This window comes from Homo sapiens, chromosome 2 (genome assembly GCF_000001405.40).
Source record: "Homo sapiens chromosome 2, GRCh38.p14 Primary Assembly".
NCBI classification, from domain to species: Eukaryota; Metazoa; Chordata; class Mammalia; order Primates; family Hominidae; genus Homo; species Homo sapiens.
Window position 1 is genome coordinate 202,283,688 of NC_000002.12, and position 19,974 is coordinate 202,303,661.

A 19,974-nucleotide genomic window follows, 5' to 3' on the forward strand; every position below is an offset into this window, starting at 1 on the left:
CTCGGCCTCCCAAAGTGCTGGGATTACAGGCGTGAGCCACCGCGCCTGGCATAACCTGTAATTTTAAAAAGAAGCTAAATAACAGGTAGTAAAAGATCTCCTTAAACCAACTACTTGGTCAAATTATATTAATCTTTTTATAGCTTTTAATTTATATAGCCAAGCTGTCTTCTGGAAGCTTGTATCAGTTTTTACTTCCACCAGTGATACAGTCAAGTATTCTACAAACACACTGGAAATTATGCTTCTTGTCCAACTGAGAAATGCGTATATTTAAATTAGTGCCACTTTAATATTTAGGAAATAATTTCAGGCTGGGCGCGGTGGCTCATGCCTGTAATCCCAGCACTTTGGGAAGATGAGGCGGGCGGATCACTTGAGGTCAGGAGTTTGAGACCAGCCTGTACAACATGGTGAAACCCCGTCTCTACTAAAAATACAAAATTAGCTGGGCATGGTGGCTCATGCCTGCAATAATCCCAGGCCGAGACAGGAGAATCTCTTGAACCCAGGAGGCGGAGGTTGTAGTGAGCCAAGATTGCGCCACTGCACTCCAGCCTGGGCGACAGAGTGATACTGTGTCTCAAAAAATAATAATAACAACTTCAGGAAAGTCTTTTTTTTTTTAATTTAATATAGATGTTCATGTTCTTGTAGGAAAAGCTGAATCTCAGTTGTATCCATAGTCCTGTTGTTAATGAACTTATGAGAGGAATTCGTTCACAAATGGATGGATTAATCCCTGGGGTAGAACCACGTGAAATGGCAGCTATGTGTCTTGGATTGGCTCACAGGTGAGAATTACTGGAAAATAAAGTCAACTTACTTTTATTTGATAAGCGCTTAACATAGATCTGTTCTAAGAATGTTACAAATGCTCATTTGAACCACATCAGAACCTTATGAAGAAGATGATAGTAATATCCTCATTTACAGATGAAACTGAAGCCCAAGGTCAATACAGCTGGTAAGTGGTAAAGCCAGGATTTGAACCCAGGCAGTCTGGCTCTATTGTCTGGATTCTTAAAACCTTAAAACCTCATCAAAGGAATTCTCTACTACTCTGATCTTGGATGCCCTGTTTCTTGGGCTTTCCCTCCTTTATCTCTGCTAAGTCATGCCACTCCTCCATCTACTTAGTATTCCCCCAAATTCTCTCATCTGCTATGGTCTTATGGGATAGGTGTGTATTTGTGTTTTCATTGCTTTACTCTGATTTTTAATAAGGCAAAGAGGACTAGGTGCAGTGGCTCACCCCTGTAATCCCAACTCTTTGGGAGACCAGGAGTTTGAGACTAGCCTGAGCAACATAGCAAGAAATATGTCTCTCTCTGTGTTTTTTTGTTTGTTTTGTTTTTGTTTTGTTTTTTTTGAGGCAGATTCTCACTCTGTCGCCCAGACTGGAGTGCAGTGGCGTGATCTCTGCTCACTGCAGCCCCTGCCTCCCAGGCTCAAGTGATTTTCTTGCCTCAGCCTCCGAGTAGCTAGGATTACAAGCGTGCACCACTACTGCCCAACTAATTTTTGTATTTTTAGTAGAGACGGGCTTTCACCATGTTGGCCTGGCTGATCTTGAACTCCTGACCTCAAATGATCCATCCGCCTTGGCCTTCCAAAGTGCTGGGATTATAGGCATGAGCCACCACACCCGGCATTTTTTTTTTTTTTTTTTTTTTTTTGAGTCAGGGTCTCACTCTGTTGCTCAGGCTGGGGTGCAGTGGTGCGATCTTGGCTCACTGCAACCTGGACATCCTGGACTCAAACAATGCCACCTCAGCCTCCCAAGTAGCTGGGACTGCAAGTGTGCGCCACCATCCCTGGCTGATTTTTTAACTTTTTGTAGAGACGGGGTTTTGCCATGCTGCCCAGGCTGGAACTCCCAGGCTCAAGTGATCCACTTGCCTTAGCCTCCCAAAGTGCCGCGACTGCAGGGGTGAGCCACCATGCCCAGTCTTCTCCCTATTTTTAATTGCATGTTAACCCTATCATATTTCATTAGAAGTCCCTTAGAATAGGCATTATTGCTATGTTGTGATACATCTGTTCATGAAAAGCTTAATACTTTGGAATTGCACTACAGTTAACAGGGTTGTGAAGAAAATAATGGTAGGTAGTTGCTCAAAACCTGTGCAACTTTGTAATCAGTACTGTCAAATAGTAATCCTAATAAAATTATTACCACAGTTCAAAAGACATTTTAAGCTAATATTAAAAGAAACACTACAGGCTGGGCACGGTGGCTCACGCCTGTAATCCCAACACTTTGGGAGGCCAAGGCAGGCAGATCACAAGGTCAGGAGATCGAGACCACGGTGAAACCTCGTCTCTACTAAAAATACAAAAAATTAGCCGGGCACAGTGGCGGGCGCCTGTAGTCCCAGCTACTTGGGAGGCTGAGGCAGGAGAATGGCGTGAACCCGGGAGGCAGAGCTTGCAGTGAGTGGAGATCGCTCCACTGCAGTCCAGCCTGGGTGACAGAGTGAGACTCCATCTCAAAAAAAAAAAAAAAAAAGGGAGAAAGAAACACTATAGGCCAGGCGCAGTGGCTCACGCCTGTAATACATCCCAGCACTTTGCGAGGCTGAGGCAGGTGAATCATGAGGTCAGGAGATCGAGACCATCCTGGTTAACACAGTGAAACCCCGTCTCTACTAAAAATACAAAAAAATTAGCCAGGCATGGTGGCGGGCGCCTGTAGTCCCAGCTACTCGGGAGGCTGAGGCAGGAGAATGGCGTGAACCCGGGAGGTGGAGCTTGCAGTGAGTGGAGATTGCTCCACTGCACTCCAGCCTGGGTGACAGAGTAAGACTCCGTCTCAAAACAAAACAAAAAAGAAACACTACAATTTAAAAAGGTCTATTTTAAAATTAAAAGGTGGGCATAGATTGAAAGGGTTGAAGCTGCTAAGCTAGAGTTAAGAGCAAAAATGCACAAAGGTTAGGGAGAGCTTTGTAATAAGCATTTCTAAGAGAGAACAAATAGTGAAACTGAGTCAAAAATCCAAACCTGGGTAAATCTGCATTGTGTATAGCAGTGGTTCCCTATCAAGGGCAATCAGATGTCCCCCCAGTAGGCATTTGTCTATGTCCATAGACATTTTTGGTTGTCACAATTGGAGGTGGGTTGGGGTCTGCCATGAGTATCTGGTGGATAAAAGTTAGGGATACTGCTAAAGGTCCTATAATGCACAGGGCAGCCTGTACAACAAGGAATTAGGCCCAAAATATTAATTGTGCTGAGATGAAAAAACATTTTTATACAGACAATATTGTTACTCCACAGCTTTCTGTTTTCAGATGTTAAGAGTCCTGCAAAGTTCCTAACTGGTAGTATAAAGCTTAATATGTGCTATTAAAAATTGCATGAACCAATATGGCTTTTTTTTTTTTTTTTTTTTTGAGGCGGAGTCTTGCTTTGTTGCCCAGGCTGGAGTACAGTGGCACGTGATCTCGGCTCACTGCAACCTCTGCCTCCCCGGTTCAAGCGATTCTCCTGCCTCAGCCTCCAGAGTAGCTGAGATTCAGGCGTGCCCCACCATGCCTGGCTAATTTTTATATTTTTAGTAGAGACAGGGTTTCGCCATGTTGGCCAGGTTGGTCTCGAACTCCTAACAGGTGATCTGCCCACCTCGGCCTCCCAAAGTGCTAGGATTACAAGCGTGAGCCACCACGCCCAGTCCAATATGACTTTTGTATTACACAGCTTATCCTATTTGTCATTCATACATAAACTCATTCATGTTACAGAAATAAAGGTCGTAGCAGCACATATAGTTTTTTTTTTTAATGTGTATTTTCTGTTCTCGTATGGTGCATTTCTACTTAGCTGATTTTTCTTCTTAGAAAAACCAATTACAGCTCTGACTACAGGCTGATTTGAGTAAAAACAAAAACAAAAAAAAACTTTAAGGTGTTAATTTAAATGCTTTTCCTAGATGCTATCTTGCTAATTTATTTTCCCCTTTCTTCCCAGCCTGTCTCGATATAGATTGAAGTTTAGCGCTGATAAAGTAGACACAATGATTGTTCAGGCAATTTGTAAGTATAGTACATGCAAAGTCCGATTTGTTGCTCTGTCCTTCATGCGTTTTCATACTGTTGAAACTATCTTTTATGATTCTGTCTGTTGAGAAAGAGAAAGGAGGCCAGGTGTGGTGGCTCAAGCCTTTAATCCCAGCACTTGGGAGGCTGAGGCAGGCGGATCACCTGAGGTCAGGAGTTCAAGACCAGCTTGGCCAACATGACAAAACTCTGTCTTTACTAAAAATACAAAAAAAATTAAATGTGCATGGTGGCGTGTACCTATAATCCCAGCTACTCAGGAGGCTGAGGCAGGATAATTGCTTGAACCCAGGAGGCGGAGGTTGACTATTTGGAGATTATATGAATCACAGAATTAACATTACGTTAATTAATTCATTTGTATTTTTCCATGAAAATGTTAAAAACATAAGTGCAATCTTTGTAGTTGTGTATTCTGCTGTGTCATTAAATGGTTTTTAGAAAGCTCAAAAGCTGCCAGGCACAGTGGCTCATGCCTGTAATCCCAGCACTTTGAGAGGCTGAGGCGGGAGGATCACCTGAGGTCGGGAATTTGAGACCAGCCTGACCAACATGGAGAAATCCCGTCTCTACTAAAAATACAAAATTAACCAGGCATGGTGGTGCATGCCTGTAATCTCAGCTACTCGGGAGGCTGAGGCAGGAGAATCACTTGAACCCTGGAGGCAGAGGTTGTAGTGAGTTGATCGTGCCATTGCACTCCAGCCTGGGCAACAAGAGCAAATCTCCATCTCACTAAAAAAAAAAAAAAAAAATCAAAATCTTAATCGTTTTTCTATTTTAGAAATGCATTCGGCCGTGGCTCACGCCTGTAATCCCAACACTTTGGGAGGCAGAGGCTGGTGGATCACCTGAGGTCAGGAGTTCGAGATCAGGCCAACATGGTGAAACCCGATCTTTAGTAAAAAATAAAAAAATTATCTGAGCATGATGGTAGGCGCCTGTAATCTCAGCTATTCAGGAGGCTGAGGCAGGAGAATCACTTGAACCTGAGAGGCGGAGGTTGCAGTGGGCCGAGATCGCACCATTTCACTCTAGCTTGGACAACATGAGCAACACTCCGTCTCAAAAAAAAAAACAAAGTATTCGGCTGGGCGCAGTGGCTCACACCTGTAATCCTAGCACATTGGGAGGCCAAGGCGGGTGAATTGCCTGAGCTCGGGAGTTTGAGAGCAGCCTGGCTAACATGGCGAAACCCTGTCTTTACTAAAAATACAAAAAAGTAGCCAGTCGAGGTGGCGTGTGCCTATAGTCCCAGCCACTTAGGAGGCTGAGGAAGGAGAATCACTTGAACCCAGGAAGCAGAGGTTGCAGTGAGCTGAGATCGCACCACTGCACTCCATCCTGGGTGATGGAGTTAGACTCTGTCTCCAAAAAAAGAAAAAAAAAAGCGCTCAACCAGCGATTCCTTTCCTAGATTTATACCCAAAAGAATTAAAAACAGAACTGAGTTGCTTGTACACCTATGTTCATAACAGTGTTATTTACAAAACCAAACAGTGGAAACAACCCAGATACCTTTTAACAGATGAATGGATAAACTGCATTGTGGATGCAGCTTGAATGTCCCTAATCTGAAATTCAAAATGCTCTGAAATCTAAAACTTTTTGTGGTACCACACAAATCCACAAGTGGAAAACTCCACACCTGACCACACGTCAAAACTTTGTTTTATGCACAAAATTATTTAAAATATTGTGTAAAATTACCTTCAAGGTTTTGTATATAAGGTATATGTGAAATGTAGATGCATTTCCTATTTAGACTTCGAGTTCCATCCTCAGCCTCATACGTGTTTGCAAATACTCTGAAATACTTCTGGTCCCAAGCATTTTGGGTAACGTACACCCAGCCACTTCACACAGTGGAATGTTAGTCAGCCTTAAAAAGAAATGAAATTCTGATACATATTTCAACATGATAAACCTTGAAAATATGCTAAGTGAAATAGTCACAAAATACTGCATGATTCTGCTTATATGAAGTACCTAAAATAGGTGAACTCAGAGACAGAAGTATAAAGATAACTAGAGGTTGGGGGGAAGGTGGGAATGAGTTACTGTTTAATGGGTACAGAATTTTTCAGTTTCTGATGATAAAATTGCTCTGGCAATAGATCCTGGTAATGGTTGCATAACATCATAAGAATACTTAATGCTACTGAATAGTACACTTGAAAATGGTTGAAGTGTTATTTTTTATTCTTTTTTTTTTAAATTTTTTGCGACGGAATCTTGCTCTGTCACCCAGGCTGGAATGCAGTAGCACGATCTCGGCTCACTACAACCTCCACCTCCTGTGTTCAAGTGATTCTTCTGCCTCAGCCCTCCAGAGTAGCTGGGACTACAGGTGTGCACCACCATGCCTGGCTAATTTTTGTATTTTTAATAGAGATGGGGTTTCACCATGTTGGCCAGGCTGGTCTTGAACTTCTGACTTCGTGATATGCCTGTCTGCTGGGATTACAGACATGAGCCACCGTGCCCAGCCTGAAGTGTTAAATTTTATGTTGTGTATGTTTTACCACAATAAATCCCTTTAAGTTTTGTTTGTTTGTTTTTAATCTACTACAGCCTTGTTAGATGACTTGGATAAAGAACTAAACAACTACATTATGCGATGTAGAGAATGGTATGGCTGGCATTTCCCTGAATTAGGAAAAATTATTTCAGATAATTTAACATACTGCAAGTGTTTACAGAAAGTTGGTGAGTAATTTGTTCATCCTTTAAGGCATTGAAAGTAAATGAATTTGATTGCATCCTAAAACATGACGTATAGCATTTTGTTAAGCAAGATTCCCAGGGTTTTTGCAATTTCTGTGTATTTGGGAAGTGTAGCAGTTTAGTGTCTTAAATTTAAGAAACAAAATGAATTTTAACTTAGATTTTGATGGCCTATAACATGATATTAGTACCTAATGCTAAATAGCAGTATTGCCGTCTGTACTGTTAATATACAGAGGAACTTGATTGTTGATTGTCGTTAACGTACAGAGGAACTTGATTGATTGATGGTTTACTTGCCTTACGAATTACTGGCCCCAGCTTCAGTATAAAATTGTCTGTGACATTATTATTAGTCCTGTCTTTTTTAAATTTTTGCCACTTATATTCTGTAATAAGTGTTGTGGCATATTTTGTCCTCTTTTTACTCTGATTATTTTTTGGAAGAAGGTGGTGGGGAGACATTTAATGTCTAAACTTAAACCCTTAAATGAGGAAAACTGTTATACTAGGTCAAACTTCTTCATTTTTTTTGTTTTGTTTAGGCATCCTTTTCATTGGCTTTCTACTTTTTCTTTTGACTATTTGCTGGATTTTATATAATTTGTTGAAGAGTGATTCTCCCTCATCCTCTGCAAACATTCCATAGGCGATAGGAAGAACTATGCCTCTGCCAAGCTTTCTGAGTTGCTGCCAGAAGAAGTTGAAGCAGAAGTGAAAGCAGCTGCAGAGATATCAATGGGAACAGAGGTTTCAGAAGAAGATATTTGCAATATTCTGCATCTTTGCACCCAGGTAAATTTTACTCCTGGAGAATCTAGTTGTGGTGTTACCAGCTCTATAGTACTAATTTTTCTGATGGCAATGATGATTTTTACACTTATTGTTGTTCACCTGATAACATAAATATGAGGGTGTTCAGTCACTACCTCATCTGATGCCATCATGATTTGTATACTTAAAAGGGGGAAATACATATTAAAAGGAAGTAATTTACAATCATCGTCTGAATAATGAATTAACCAAAAATCAATTAAGATGGCAGAGAAGGCCAGGCGCGTTGGCTCACGCCTGTAATCCCCGCACTTTGGAAGGCCGAGTCAGGGATTGACCTGAGGTCAGGAGTTCGAGACCAGCCTGACCAATATGATGAAACCCCCATCTCTACTAAAAATGCAAAAATTAGCTGCGCGTGGTGGCGTACACCTGTAATCCCAGCTACTCGGGAGGCTGAGACAGGAGAATCGCTTGAACCAGGGAGGGGGAGGTTGCAGTGAGCCGAGATGGCACCATTGCATCCAGCCTGGGCAACAAGAGCAAAACTCCATCTCAAAAAAAAAAAAAAAAAAAAAAAGGATGGCAGACAATTATGGATTGAGCCTTTTAATTCTGAGTCTTATGTCTATATCTTGTGATTTTTTTTTCTTTCAGATTTGAAGGTAGCCATATAGGAATTAAAAAGAGCATGATACAAATGTTTATTGCTCAGAATCTTTTTTTTTTTTTTTTTTTTTTTTTTTTTTTTTTTTGAGACAGAGTCTCACCCTGTAGCCCAGGCTGGAGTGCAGTGGCACGTTCTCAGGCTCACTGCTACCTCTGCCTCCCAGGTCCCAGTTCAAGCGGTTCTCCTGCCTCAGCCTCCCGAGTAGCTGGGATTACAAGCACGTGCCACCATGCCCAGCTAATTTTTGTATTTTTCATAGAGACGGGGTTTCACCATGTTGGCCAGGATGGTCTTGAACTCCTGACCTCATGATCCACCTGCCTCGACCTCCCAAAGTGCTGGAATTACAGGTGTGAGTCACTGTGCCTGGGCTGCTTAGAATCTTTTAAAAATACAGTTACGCTGACTAAGATTTTCAGGCAGTGGACCAAGTAGTTTACATACATTATATAACGAAGTCCTCATTACAGCCATCTTATAGAAAACTGATGTTAGGATCATGAGGTCAAGAGATAGAGACCATACTGGCCAACATGGTGAAACCCTGTCTCTACTAAAAATACAAAAAATTAGCTGGGCGTGGTGGCGGGCCCCTGTAGTCCCAGCTACTCCAGAGGCTGAGGCAGGAGAATCACTTGAGCCCGGGAGGCGGAGATTGCTGTGAGCTGAGATTGCGCCACTGCGCTCCAGCCTGGGAAAAAAAAAAAAGAAAACTGATGTTAGGCATAGGTGATGTACCCAGTACCCAGGGTTGTGTAGCTGCTCTTTCATAATTGAGGGCTCCAGTGTTTTAGACAGGAATTTTTACTGTTTTTACTCATATGATATTTGTGACTTAACTTTATTCCTTATACTAGGTGATTGAAATCTCTGAATATCGAACCCAGCTCTATGAATATCTACAAAATCGAATGATGGCCATTGCACCCAATGTTACAGTCATGGTTGGGGAATTAGTTGGAGCACGGCTTATTGCTCATGCAGGTGATGGTTTTAATGTAATTTGTAAATATGAGTGTTTGAAGTATTTTCTGGTTAGGATTTTGTTTACATCTTTAAACTACAGCTGTTAAAGAAATTTTAGCTGATAACACAAAAGTAGATGATATGTGGGAGATCACTAAGGGCCAAGTGTTCAATGATGATTTCTATTTGTTTGCCTGATTTCCTTTTGGATAATGAAGGCATCTTTAGTCACTACCTCTTCTGAGACACTTGTGGTCCATTGTTAGAAGTTTGTTAGGGTTAATTAGAACAATCGGATGAATGCAGGAGGATAAAACAGTTAACATTTTCATAATAAAAACTCACTAGACCTAGATTTGAATACAGTTTTAAGAAATCACTGTAGAGAAAGAAAAAAAAAAGAAATCACTGTAGAGGATTTGTGCCCTTGATTGATTACCTTAGTTTCACTATTGAGTGTGAGGATGTAATATATTTGACTTTCAAAAATATTTTCAACAACTGATTTATAATAAAACTTTGTATATGTGTATGGCAGTATTATAAGGATGATATGCTATAATTAAAATGCTATGTAATTGAATACCTACAAATACAATGAAGTACTGATTCATCATTTTTATGTTACTTGGAGACATTGTTATAATTCATCAAAAAAGATTATATCATCTGCATCAGAGTGTTTAAAATGGCATAACTCCTTTTTTTTTGTTTGAGACAGAGTTTCACTCTGTTGCACTGGCTGGAGTGCAGTGGCTCACTGCAACCTCTGCCTCCCAGGTTCAAGCAATTCTCCTGCCTCAGGCTCCCAAGTTGCTGGGATTACAGGCATGTGCTGCCACCATGCCTGGCTAATTTTTATATTTTTAGTTGAGACAGGGTTTTTGCCATGTTGGCCAGGCTGGTCTCAAACTCCTGACCTCAGGTGATCTGCGCACCTCAGCCTCCCAAAGTGTTGGGATTACAGGCGTGAGCCACTGCGCCCGGCCTGGCGTAACTCCTTTAGCTGCATCATTAATCAAAGGTTTCATTCAAATGCCCTCAGCTATAAGATCAGATGATTTCATTGTCTCTACCCATTTTCATAGGTATAGCTAAACTTGTAGCAGTAAGCAATGGCAGGGGTTAATAGAAGTATGTATTTGTTGGCCAGGCGTGGTGGCTCACGCCTGTAATCCCAGCACTTTGAGAAGCTGAGGTGGGTGGGTCACCTGAGGTCAGGAGTTCGAGACCAGCCTGGCCAACATGGTAAATAAAACCCCATCTCTATTAACAACACAAAAATTACCCAACCTTGGTGGCATGAGCCTGTAATCCCAGCTACTCGGGATGCTGAGGCAGGAGAATTGCTTGAACCCGGGAGGTGGAGGTTGCAGTGAGCCAAGATTGTGACATTGCACACAGCAGTGGTGACATTGCTTGCCTGGGTGACAAGAGTGAAACTCCATCTCAAAAAAAAAAAAAAAAAAAGAACTATGTATTTGTTACACTTTTAAAACTATGTCTAGTGCTTAAGTTCATAGTATTAATAGAGTCTGTTTTCTGACAGGAAATATTCTATACAGCATATCCAACTAAGCAGCATGTTGATAACAATAGTCCCCAGCTATTTATGGAGATGTATTCTAAGCTCCCCCCTCCAAGAATGTTTGAAACAGAGGATAGTACTGAATCCTATACTGTATATGCTGTTTTTTCCTAAACATACATATCTATAATAAAGCTTAGCTTATAAATTAGGTACAGTAGGATATCAACAACAGTCATAATATAACAGTTATAACACTATGCCAGCAGGGCCGGGTGTGGTGGCTTACGCCTGTAATCCCAGCACTTTGGGAAGCTGAGGAGGGTGGATCACGAGGTCAGGAGTTCAAGATCAGCCTGGCCAAGATGGTGAAACCCCATCTCTACTAAAAATACAAAAAAAAATTAGCTGGGTGTAGTGGTGGGTGCCTGTAATCCCAGCTACTCGGAGGCTGAGGCAGAGAATTGCTTAAACCCGGGAGGCGGAGGATGCAGTGAGCCAAGATCGCGCCACTGCACTCCAGCCTGCGCAACAGAGCGAAACTCTATCTCAAAAAAAAAAAAAAATGCAAGCATAACTATTTTTGTGCATTGGTTACTTGAATATAAGCACTGCAGTACTGCACAACGGAGAGGGCTACGAAAGTGACTAATGGGTAGATAGAGATGATTCATGTCCTGGGGGGAGCTGAGTGGGATAGCAAGAGATTTAAAACTTAGGAACTATTTATTTCTGGAATTTCCTTTTTAATATTTTCAGACTGCAGTTAACCACAGGTAATTTACCACACAAAGTGAAAGCACAGGTAGGGGACTATTAATAGATACTTGTAGGAATATCTCTTCCTAATAAATGTGTTTATTTGTAGGCTTTTTCATATCTAAAGCAATAGAATATTTGATACAATCTCAGAAAGCAGGGACCAGATTAGTGTTCGTGTGTGTGACATTTATGTCACTCCTGTAGTATACTAATGGAATTTAGAATAGTACTGCCATCTCTCAGGTGAATAGAAACATTGAACTTAATAAGCTTAGCCTTCAGTTTGTCCTAGGCATTCATTGCAAACCTGCTTGTGCTAATGAAGGAATTACAAATGAAACATCAAGATTTTTAGGGAATTCTGGATTATAGAATTCTATATTATATGTGATTTTTATTTATTATGGTGGCTGTAATAATTCTATAGGTCTTTTGTTTCAGTACGTGGAACATTCATATATTTGGAGGTGCATTCTTTGTAACTTTTTTCTTTTGTAGGTTCTCTTTTAAATTTGGCCAAGCATGCAGCTTCTACCGTTCAGATTCTTGGAGCTGAAAAGGCACTTTTCAGAGCCCTCAAATCTAGACGGGATACCCCTAAGTATGGTCTCATTTATCATGCTTCACTCGTGGGCCAGACAAGTCCCAAACACAAAGGAAAGGTGTGTTATAGGGTTTTGCTTTGTTTTTGAGGTTAGACTTTTTCATTTTTTACAACCCATTTTTCTTCTACTCTGTAGTACACATTAAATCTTCTATTGTCTCTTTCTTGTTAAATAGGGAATGGTGAGTTATTTAAATAAAAAGTGCTTTGTGTACACTGAAGGATAAGGTTAGAAGAAACTGTTATTGGTTGGATTAAAGCCAGTTTCTTCCATTGTGTTAGTATTTTTTTCCCCCCTAGAATCTCCCTGTGGTTGGCACACTGAAAATACTATCTCTGGCAGCAAAAAAAAAATCTAACATTTACGAATCATAAAAAATAGCATATGCATTATGCTAAAACACTTTGAGAGAAGTCACTAAACTTTTTTTTTTTGAGATGGAGTCCCGCTCTGTCGCCAGGCTAGAGTGCAGTGGCTTGATCTCGGCTCACTGCAACCTCCAGCTCCCTGGTTCAAACGATTCTCCTGCCTCCCTGCCTCAGCCTTCTGAGTAGCTGGGATTACATGCACGTGCCACCACGCCCGGCTAATTTTTGTATTTTAAGTAAAGACCAGTTTCACCATGTTGGCCAGGCTGGTCTCAAACTCCTGACCTCCTGATCCACCCACCTCGGCTTCCCAGAGTGCTGGGATTACAGGTGTGAGCACCTGTGCCTGTCCTAAATCTTCAGTAGCCTTATGAGATGTAGGTATCTCTATCTTGCAGATGATGAAACTGAGGCTTAGACAAGTTAAGTACTTTCAATGTTTTTGAAAGATGTGTCGTTTAACAGATCTAAACTGAAAATTGATAAAATTTAGAGCAGAGTGGTGGAGGAAAATAAAGCGTTCAATAAAATAAAATGTTAATTAGATTGAAAAAGAACCCACGCTTTTTTTTGTTTGTTTGTTTGTTTGTTTGTTTGTTTTTTGAGATGGAGTCTCACTCTGTCGCCCAGACTGGAGTGCAGTGGTGCCATCCCGGCTCACTGCAAGCTCTGCCTCCCAGGTTCACGCCATTCTCCTGCCTCAGCCTCCAGTGTAGCTGGGACTACAGGCGCCCGGCACCACACCTGGCTAATTTTTTGTATTTTTAGTAGAGACAGGGTTTCACCGTGTTAGCCAGGATGGTCTCGATCTCCTGACCTCGTGATCCACTCGCCTCGGCCTCCCAAAGTGCTGGGATTACAGGCGTGAGCCACCGCGCTCGGCCAGAACCCGCACATATTTAAGATTGTTACGAGGAAAAAGATGCACTTCTTTTCAGTGACCTCATAGCACAGAACTAATGTCACTGAGTAGAAACTAAAGTTTAAAAATATTTTTTAAAAAAACCTAGTTTGAGCTAATATTTGACATGAATTGCTGTAAAATCTTTTCAGCCACAGAAGTGTTGGTGGTGATATATGGCCATTAGATTGTGGCAAAGGTTGAAATACGATGGATGATTTGAATTGTATGATTCATAATAGTTTTATAACTCCTGATTTTAAAACATCCAAGTTATTGAGGATTTTACATCTGAACATGGAATATAGTTCTTCATGTTTTTCTATTAGATTTCTCGAATGCTGGCAGCCAAAACCGTTTTGGCTATCCGTTATGATGCTTTTGGTGAGGATTCAAGTTCTGCAATGGGAGTTGAGAACAGAGCCAAATTAGAGGCCAGGTTGAGAACTTTGGAAGACAGAGGGGTAAGAACTACATCATGCCTATTCCAGAAGTATTACTTGTCAAAAGTTAATAAACTGAGTAAATTTATTAACTTCATCTGCTAAACAGTTTTATGATACTTATTAGTATGTCTAAAGTATTCTTTTTGTGCCTACTGTTAACAATTGCTATTATTTACCAAGAATTGATGTATCCAACTGCATTTGCCATTAGGATATGCTATTCAAAATAACAAAACAAAAAATAGCAGAAATTGCTGTTTGCTGGCCCACTGATTCACTAGACTGTATAGTGTATTATAAAGAGATTATGACTTAGAAGTGTATTTGTAATTTTTCGTTTTCTTCTTAGATAAGAAAAATAAGTGGAACAGGAAAAGCATTAGCAAAAACAGAAAAATATGAACACAAAAGGTGAGTACATTTAAGTGAGGATGGGGTGAATAGTTTTTTTAAATGTTAATTATTGACAGTAATTTTTTATTGTAAACTTCACCTTGATGTGCCCATAGTTTTTTCAAATTTATTTATTTGACCAAAATTGTGTATGTTTATTGTGTGTATGTTGTTTTGGAAAATGTGCACATTGAGGAATGATTAAGTCAAGCTCATTAACATGCATTGTCTTATGTACTTTTTTTGTGGTGAGGACACCTTAAAATCTACTTAGCAATTTTCAAGAATATAATACATTGTTAGCTGTAGTTAACCATGTTGTGCACCCCTAATTTTTTTCCATGCCATTTAGTTTTCCGCATTAACTTCTACTAGTTTTCATTCATATACATATTTAATTTATTCATTTCCAGATATTGATAGTAAATTTTTTTAATCTAAAGTTCCTCTATAATATGTTCTTTATCAAAAAGTTCACTCAGCCGGGCACAGTGGCTCATGCCTGTAATCCCAGCACTTTGGGAGGCTGAGGCAGGCAGATCACCTGAGGTCAGGAGTTCAACACAGGCCTGGCCAACATGGTGAAACCCCATCTCTACTAAAAATACAAAAAATTAACTGGGTGTGGTGGCGGGCACCTGGCTGAGGCAGGAGAATTGCTTGAAACCCGGGAGGCGGAGGGTGCAGTGAGCTGAGATCGCGCCCCTGCACTCCAGCCTGGGCAACAAGAGCAAAACTCCGTCTCAAAAAAAGTTCATTCAGAGTTAATCCCTACAGAAACCTATTTTGTAAAAAGTATAAAGACAGAAAACAAGTCTAAAGATGGCTGAGGCATGACAAAGCATTCAAACTTAACTATCAGATTAACAAAAGATTTGTATGTGGAGGGGTATTTGGGTTATTATTTGAGGCAATGCTCAATGCTGGTGAGGTTGTGATGATGCAGGTAGAATGTGGCACAGCTGTTCTAGGAAGCCATTTCACAGTATGTATCAAGATTCTTCAAAATGTTCCTAGTCATTAACCCAATAAATTATACTTTCAGGAGTCATAATCCTTCAAGATTTTTTTTTTTTTTTTTTTTTTTTTTTTGAGACAGTCTGTCTCTGTTGCCAGGCTGGAGTGCAGTGGCACGATTGCGGCTCACTGCAACCTCTGACTCCCCGGTTCAAGTTATGCTCCTGCCTCAGCCTCCCGAGTAGCTAGGATTACAGGCATACACCACCACATCCAGCTAATTTTTGTATTTTTAGTAGAGTCGGGGTTTCATCATGTTGGCCAGGATGGTCTTGATCTCCTGACCTCGTGATCCGCCCGCCTTGGCCTCCCAAAGTGCTGGGATTACAGGCGTGAGCCACAGCACCCGGCCTCCTTCAAGAATTTTAATAGTAAAATCTTATAAGTGGATGAGGAGAGTAATTAATATATAGAACATTACCAATTATAAATACATATTTAAGTATAATTTAGTGTTTTCTGGAAAGAAATCAAATGTGTTTCTGTGGGCATTCACATTTTCTTTTTTGTGAATTTTCCAAGCTTTCTACAATAGCCATACATTCTGCAATATTTATAGTCTATAACTTATTATCTCTAGTTGACAAACATGGTTCTTTGTTTCTTAAATTATAAATGTCTTTAACCTAAAAAAATTAAATAGTCATTCAGCTTACAGGTCTGCTTAAAAAACAGAACATTTTTTAGCTTGTTTTGAACCAATTTTTTTAATGTTCCTGTGCAATTAGTACTTTTTACTTTAAACATATGCACTTAAAGCATCCATTCACATTTTAGGCACTCATTTCAGTATTTTCTTTCTGCTTACATTAGAACAAAAGCAAATGTTGGGTTCTATGGAATCTTTTCCATGTGCATGTATTTGTATCCTTTCTTGTTCTTGTGATCTTGTGATGAAGACTTCTATACTAAGCTTGGTTTAGATTTTTTGTTCTGCTTTTTTTTTTTTTTTTTTCCCCCATTGAGCAGTGTTCTGAAAGTTGGATGGTTCAGTTTTCACTTTCTAGTTAGGTGTGAAGACGTTTTCTCCTTTCATTTCCCCCATGCTGATTGAGTGTTTTCCTGTACCATAGTAACTACATTGATTACTAAATCAGAATTCATTTAGCTCACCACATCTCTTGAATGTGATTGACCTACTTGAAAAATATTAATACCTTTAACTTTTGGAAACTATTAGTCTTCATAAACTACCCCAAAGCCACTAAAATGAAACAACATTGTGTGCTTATGTAAGTATTATCTAATGGCATTTTCTTTATCTCTTGAGAATTATTTCAATTCCAGATACTTGTTAGAGATTTTCTAAAACTTTTTGGGTCTTTCAGTGAAGTGAAGACTTACGATCCTTCTGGTGACTCCACACTTCCAACCTGTTCTAAAAAACGCAAAATAGAACAGGTAGATAAAGAGGATGAAATTACTGAAAAGAAAGCCAAAAAAGCCAAGATTAAAGTTAAAGGTTAGTTTGAATTTTTTTTTTAACACAACTTATACTCACTTCTTTAGAACTGTGGATTTTGTGAGTCTTAAAAGTACATGCCATCCCACTTTATTATAAAACTGCTCATTGAACGCTAATGGTGTTTTAATAATGCCATTATGTTCTCTGGGAATATGATATTGTTAAATTTATCAGACTGCACAGAGGAAATGTGAGAAGTTTAGTCAAATTAGGTATTTTACTAAGAGTTCCAAAACTTCATTTCTCCTACATGAACTATTTGGAGAATTAAGAGAAAAAAGGAACGTGTTTTCTAAATTGGTTGTTGAAAATTTTTTGTTTTATAGTTAAGAATGAATACAGAATTGATGGAACAGTGATTTTCTTCATTGTTTCTCTTACACGGAGCGGACTGGAAGGAATACATACTGGTAGCCTGCCGTCATAGTTACAATATCTAACAGGTGCTCACCAGTTAACTAGGCTGTCTTGTGAAGTTGATAAGCAGGCGCCCCATTATTAGTTACACCTGGGTTTATTGAACACCTACTAGCAAGTCTAGCAGAAGAGTAAAGCATTAACACAATGATTGCTTTAACTTGGTTTCTAAGTAGCTTAGTGGTCAAAAGTATATGATCTACAAATGTGGATAGTATACTTGATAGAGAAAACAAACAATTTATTTAACTTTTATGCTTCTTTTTATTGAAAAGTAAGGAGATCCCTAAACCCACTAGTAGCATTTGAGGCACCAAACTCTGTCCTTTGTATCCTCAATTGTGTATCCAATAAGCTTTTCCAATTTATTTGTCAATTTTTCATCCCACAATTTCCCCCCTCTTTTTTTACCCCCAAGACAGAATCTTGCTCTGTCACCCATGCTGGAGTGCAGTGGCATGATCTTGGCTCACTGCAACCTCCACCTCCCAGGTTCAAGCAATTTTCCTGCCTCAGCCTCTTGAGTAGCTGTGATTACAGGCACGCACCACCACGCCCAGCTAATTTTTTTATTTTTAGTAGAGACAGGGTTTCACCATGTTGGCCAGCCTGGTCTCAAACTCCTGACCTTGTGATCCACCCACTCCGGCCTCCCAAACTGCTGGGATTACAGGCATGAGCCACCACGCCCAGTCCTCTCCCATTTTCTATATGTGACAATTCCAGTTGCTTTGGCCATCAACCTTGACTTTTTTCTCATAACTCAATCTAGTCTGACAGCAAATCCTCTCAGTTCCACTTGAAAGTATGTAGTAGCCACAGTGGAACCACCACTAGCTTTTTAAATCTAAATTTGTTCCAGCCATACTGGCCTGCTTGCTATTTCCTGAACCTACTATCCATCCACTTATCCCATCTGCCCTCCAAAACGCCTTACGACTTAAGCATCTGCTCTACTCTACCTGGACTATTTTCCCTCAAGATACATGTATCATTCATTCACTCCCTCACCTCTTCTAGGTGTTTGCCGACCATTCTGCCTAAAATGGCCATATATACTGCCCTTTTCCAACATTCCCCTTCCTGCTTTATTTTTATTCTTACCACTTTAATATCTATTATGTAATGTATCATTTATGTCTCCACTCTGCCACTAAAATAAAAAAGATTCATAGGGAAACGAATATTTTTGCCTCTTGTGCCTTGCTCGAATTGTTTAGTACAGAGTCTGACATGAATATTATTTGGTTGCTGAATTGCTGAATTTCTCTCTCTTTTCTTTTTCTTTTTTTTTTCTTTTTTTTTTTTTTTTTTTTTTGAGACAGAGTCTCCCTCTGTCGCCCAGGCTGAAGTGCAGTGGCGTGATCTTGGCTGACTGCAGCCTCCGCCTCCTGGGTTCAAGCAATTCTCGTGCTTCAGCCTCCTGAATAACTGGGATTACAGGCATGCACCACCATGCCTAGCTAACTTTTTTGTATTTTTATTAGATACAGGATTTCACCATGTTGGCCAGGCTGGTCTTGATATCCTGACCTCAAGTGATCCTCCCGCCTCAGCCTCCCAAAGTGCTGAGATTACAGGCGTGAGCCACTGCACCCAGCTGGTCACTGAATGTCTAATGATAGCTATGTGTTGAGTCCTTATTGTAATGTGTGCTAAGCATTATACTTAGTGCTTTCTATGCATCATCTTTTTAAATCAGTAACAGTCCAGTAAGATAAGACATTCTTAAGTTTTATAGATAGGGAGCTTCACCAAGGGTAAATACAATTTTTCAGGGTTGCAGCAGGTAGATTAAACCCAGGCCGTCTGACTTCAGAGTGCAAGCTCTTAACCATTTCTAATATAATTGACTTTCTTCCCAATAATGATTGGAGATCAGATGACCTTTGTTTTAATCCTGATTTTTATACATGACTTCATGATCGTGAGAAGATTGCTCTGAGCTCTATCTATATCATTCGTTAAAGTTAGTGGTAGGCCTTGGAGAACCTTCCCAATTATAAAATAAACAAAACAAACATTGGGTAGTTGATGAGAATGACAGAAAAAAACTAGGACTCAAACGTTTTTGGAAGGAATGAGATCTGATACAGTGTTAATTTGTTGTGCCTTTACACTTACCCTATTCAGTTGAAGAAGAGGAAGAAGAAAAAGTGGCAGAAGAAGAAGAAACATCTGTGAAGAAGAAGAAGAAAAGGGGTAAAAAGAAACACATTAAGGAAGAACCACTTTCTGAGGAAGAACCATGTACCAGCACAGCAATTGCTGTATGTTTGTTTTTAATTATCGGTTTTCACTTGGAGGGGCCAGTTCTCTATATTTCAATCTATTTTCTATATCAGAAATGAGCAGGCATTTTAAAAAATGGTTTTCATTGATGGAGAGGTAAAAGTGAAATGGCTTTGTTGTATTTATATTATAAAAGGCCATTTCCCAAATCTAGAATTTATTACTAAAAATCAAGTTTGCATTGAGGGGAGGAGTATGATTTGCTCAAGCTTACTTTTTTTATAGGTGGGGTTTTTATATTTTCAATGTGATTACTCACCCATACAATTTCAGCTCTTTCAAAGCATTCTTGTTGGCTATTTTCAGAGTCCAGAGAAAAAGAAGAAAAAGAAAAAAAAGAGAGAGAACGAGGATTAACAGAAAGGAATTACGATTATATCACCCGGACACACATCATGCTTAAGATTCAACTGGGAGCATACCAGGGATGCTCTCTAACGTAATCAAGGGAAGGTTCAGTAAGACAAAGTGATTTATCATCTATAACTTCAAACCTATTTGTCTTGACATCAACTCTGTTAACCTTATGTCATCATTTCTTAGAGTCTTTGATATACAAATAAAATTTTCTTTGTATTTTAA

General features: G+C 39.8%; 1 protein-coding gene and 2 non-coding genes across 3 annotated transcripts in view; all 3 read left to right on the top strand.

Moving 5' to 3' along the window:
- Window positions 1-19,974, top strand: part of NOP58 (NOP58 ribonucleoprotein) — a 37,899-nt gene extending 17,925 nt beyond the window's left edge. Inside the window, exons 5-15 of the mRNA NM_015934.5 lie at window positions 658-794; window positions 3,973-4,037; window positions 6,636-6,770; window positions 7,438-7,583; window positions 9,090-9,216; window positions 11,987-12,150; window positions 13,692-13,826; window positions 14,158-14,219; window positions 16,547-16,680; window positions 19,234-19,370; window positions 19,699-19,974. Coding sequence (NP_057018.1) covers window positions 658-794; window positions 3,973-4,037; window positions 6,636-6,770; window positions 7,438-7,583; window positions 9,090-9,216; window positions 11,987-12,150; window positions 13,692-13,826; window positions 14,158-14,219; window positions 16,547-16,680; window positions 19,234-19,370; window positions 19,699-19,749 — 1,293 coding nt within the window. The 3' untranslated portion in view covers window positions 19,750-19,974. The remainder of the gene's footprint in view (window positions 1-657; window positions 795-3,972; window positions 4,038-6,635; window positions 6,771-7,437; window positions 7,584-9,089; window positions 9,217-11,986; window positions 12,151-13,691; window positions 13,827-14,157; window positions 14,220-16,546; window positions 16,681-19,233; window positions 19,371-19,698) is intronic.
- Window positions 7,630-7,741, top strand: SNORD11B (small nucleolar RNA, C/D box 11B). Its single transcript, NR_003694.1, has one exon. It is a non-coding gene; the product is annotated as a small nucleolar RNA, C/D box 11B (small nucleolar RNA).
- SNORD11 (small nucleolar RNA, C/D box 11) lies at window positions 9,364-9,447 on the top strand. The gene has a single exon (NR_003031.1). It is a non-coding gene; the product is annotated as a small nucleolar RNA, C/D box 11 (small nucleolar RNA).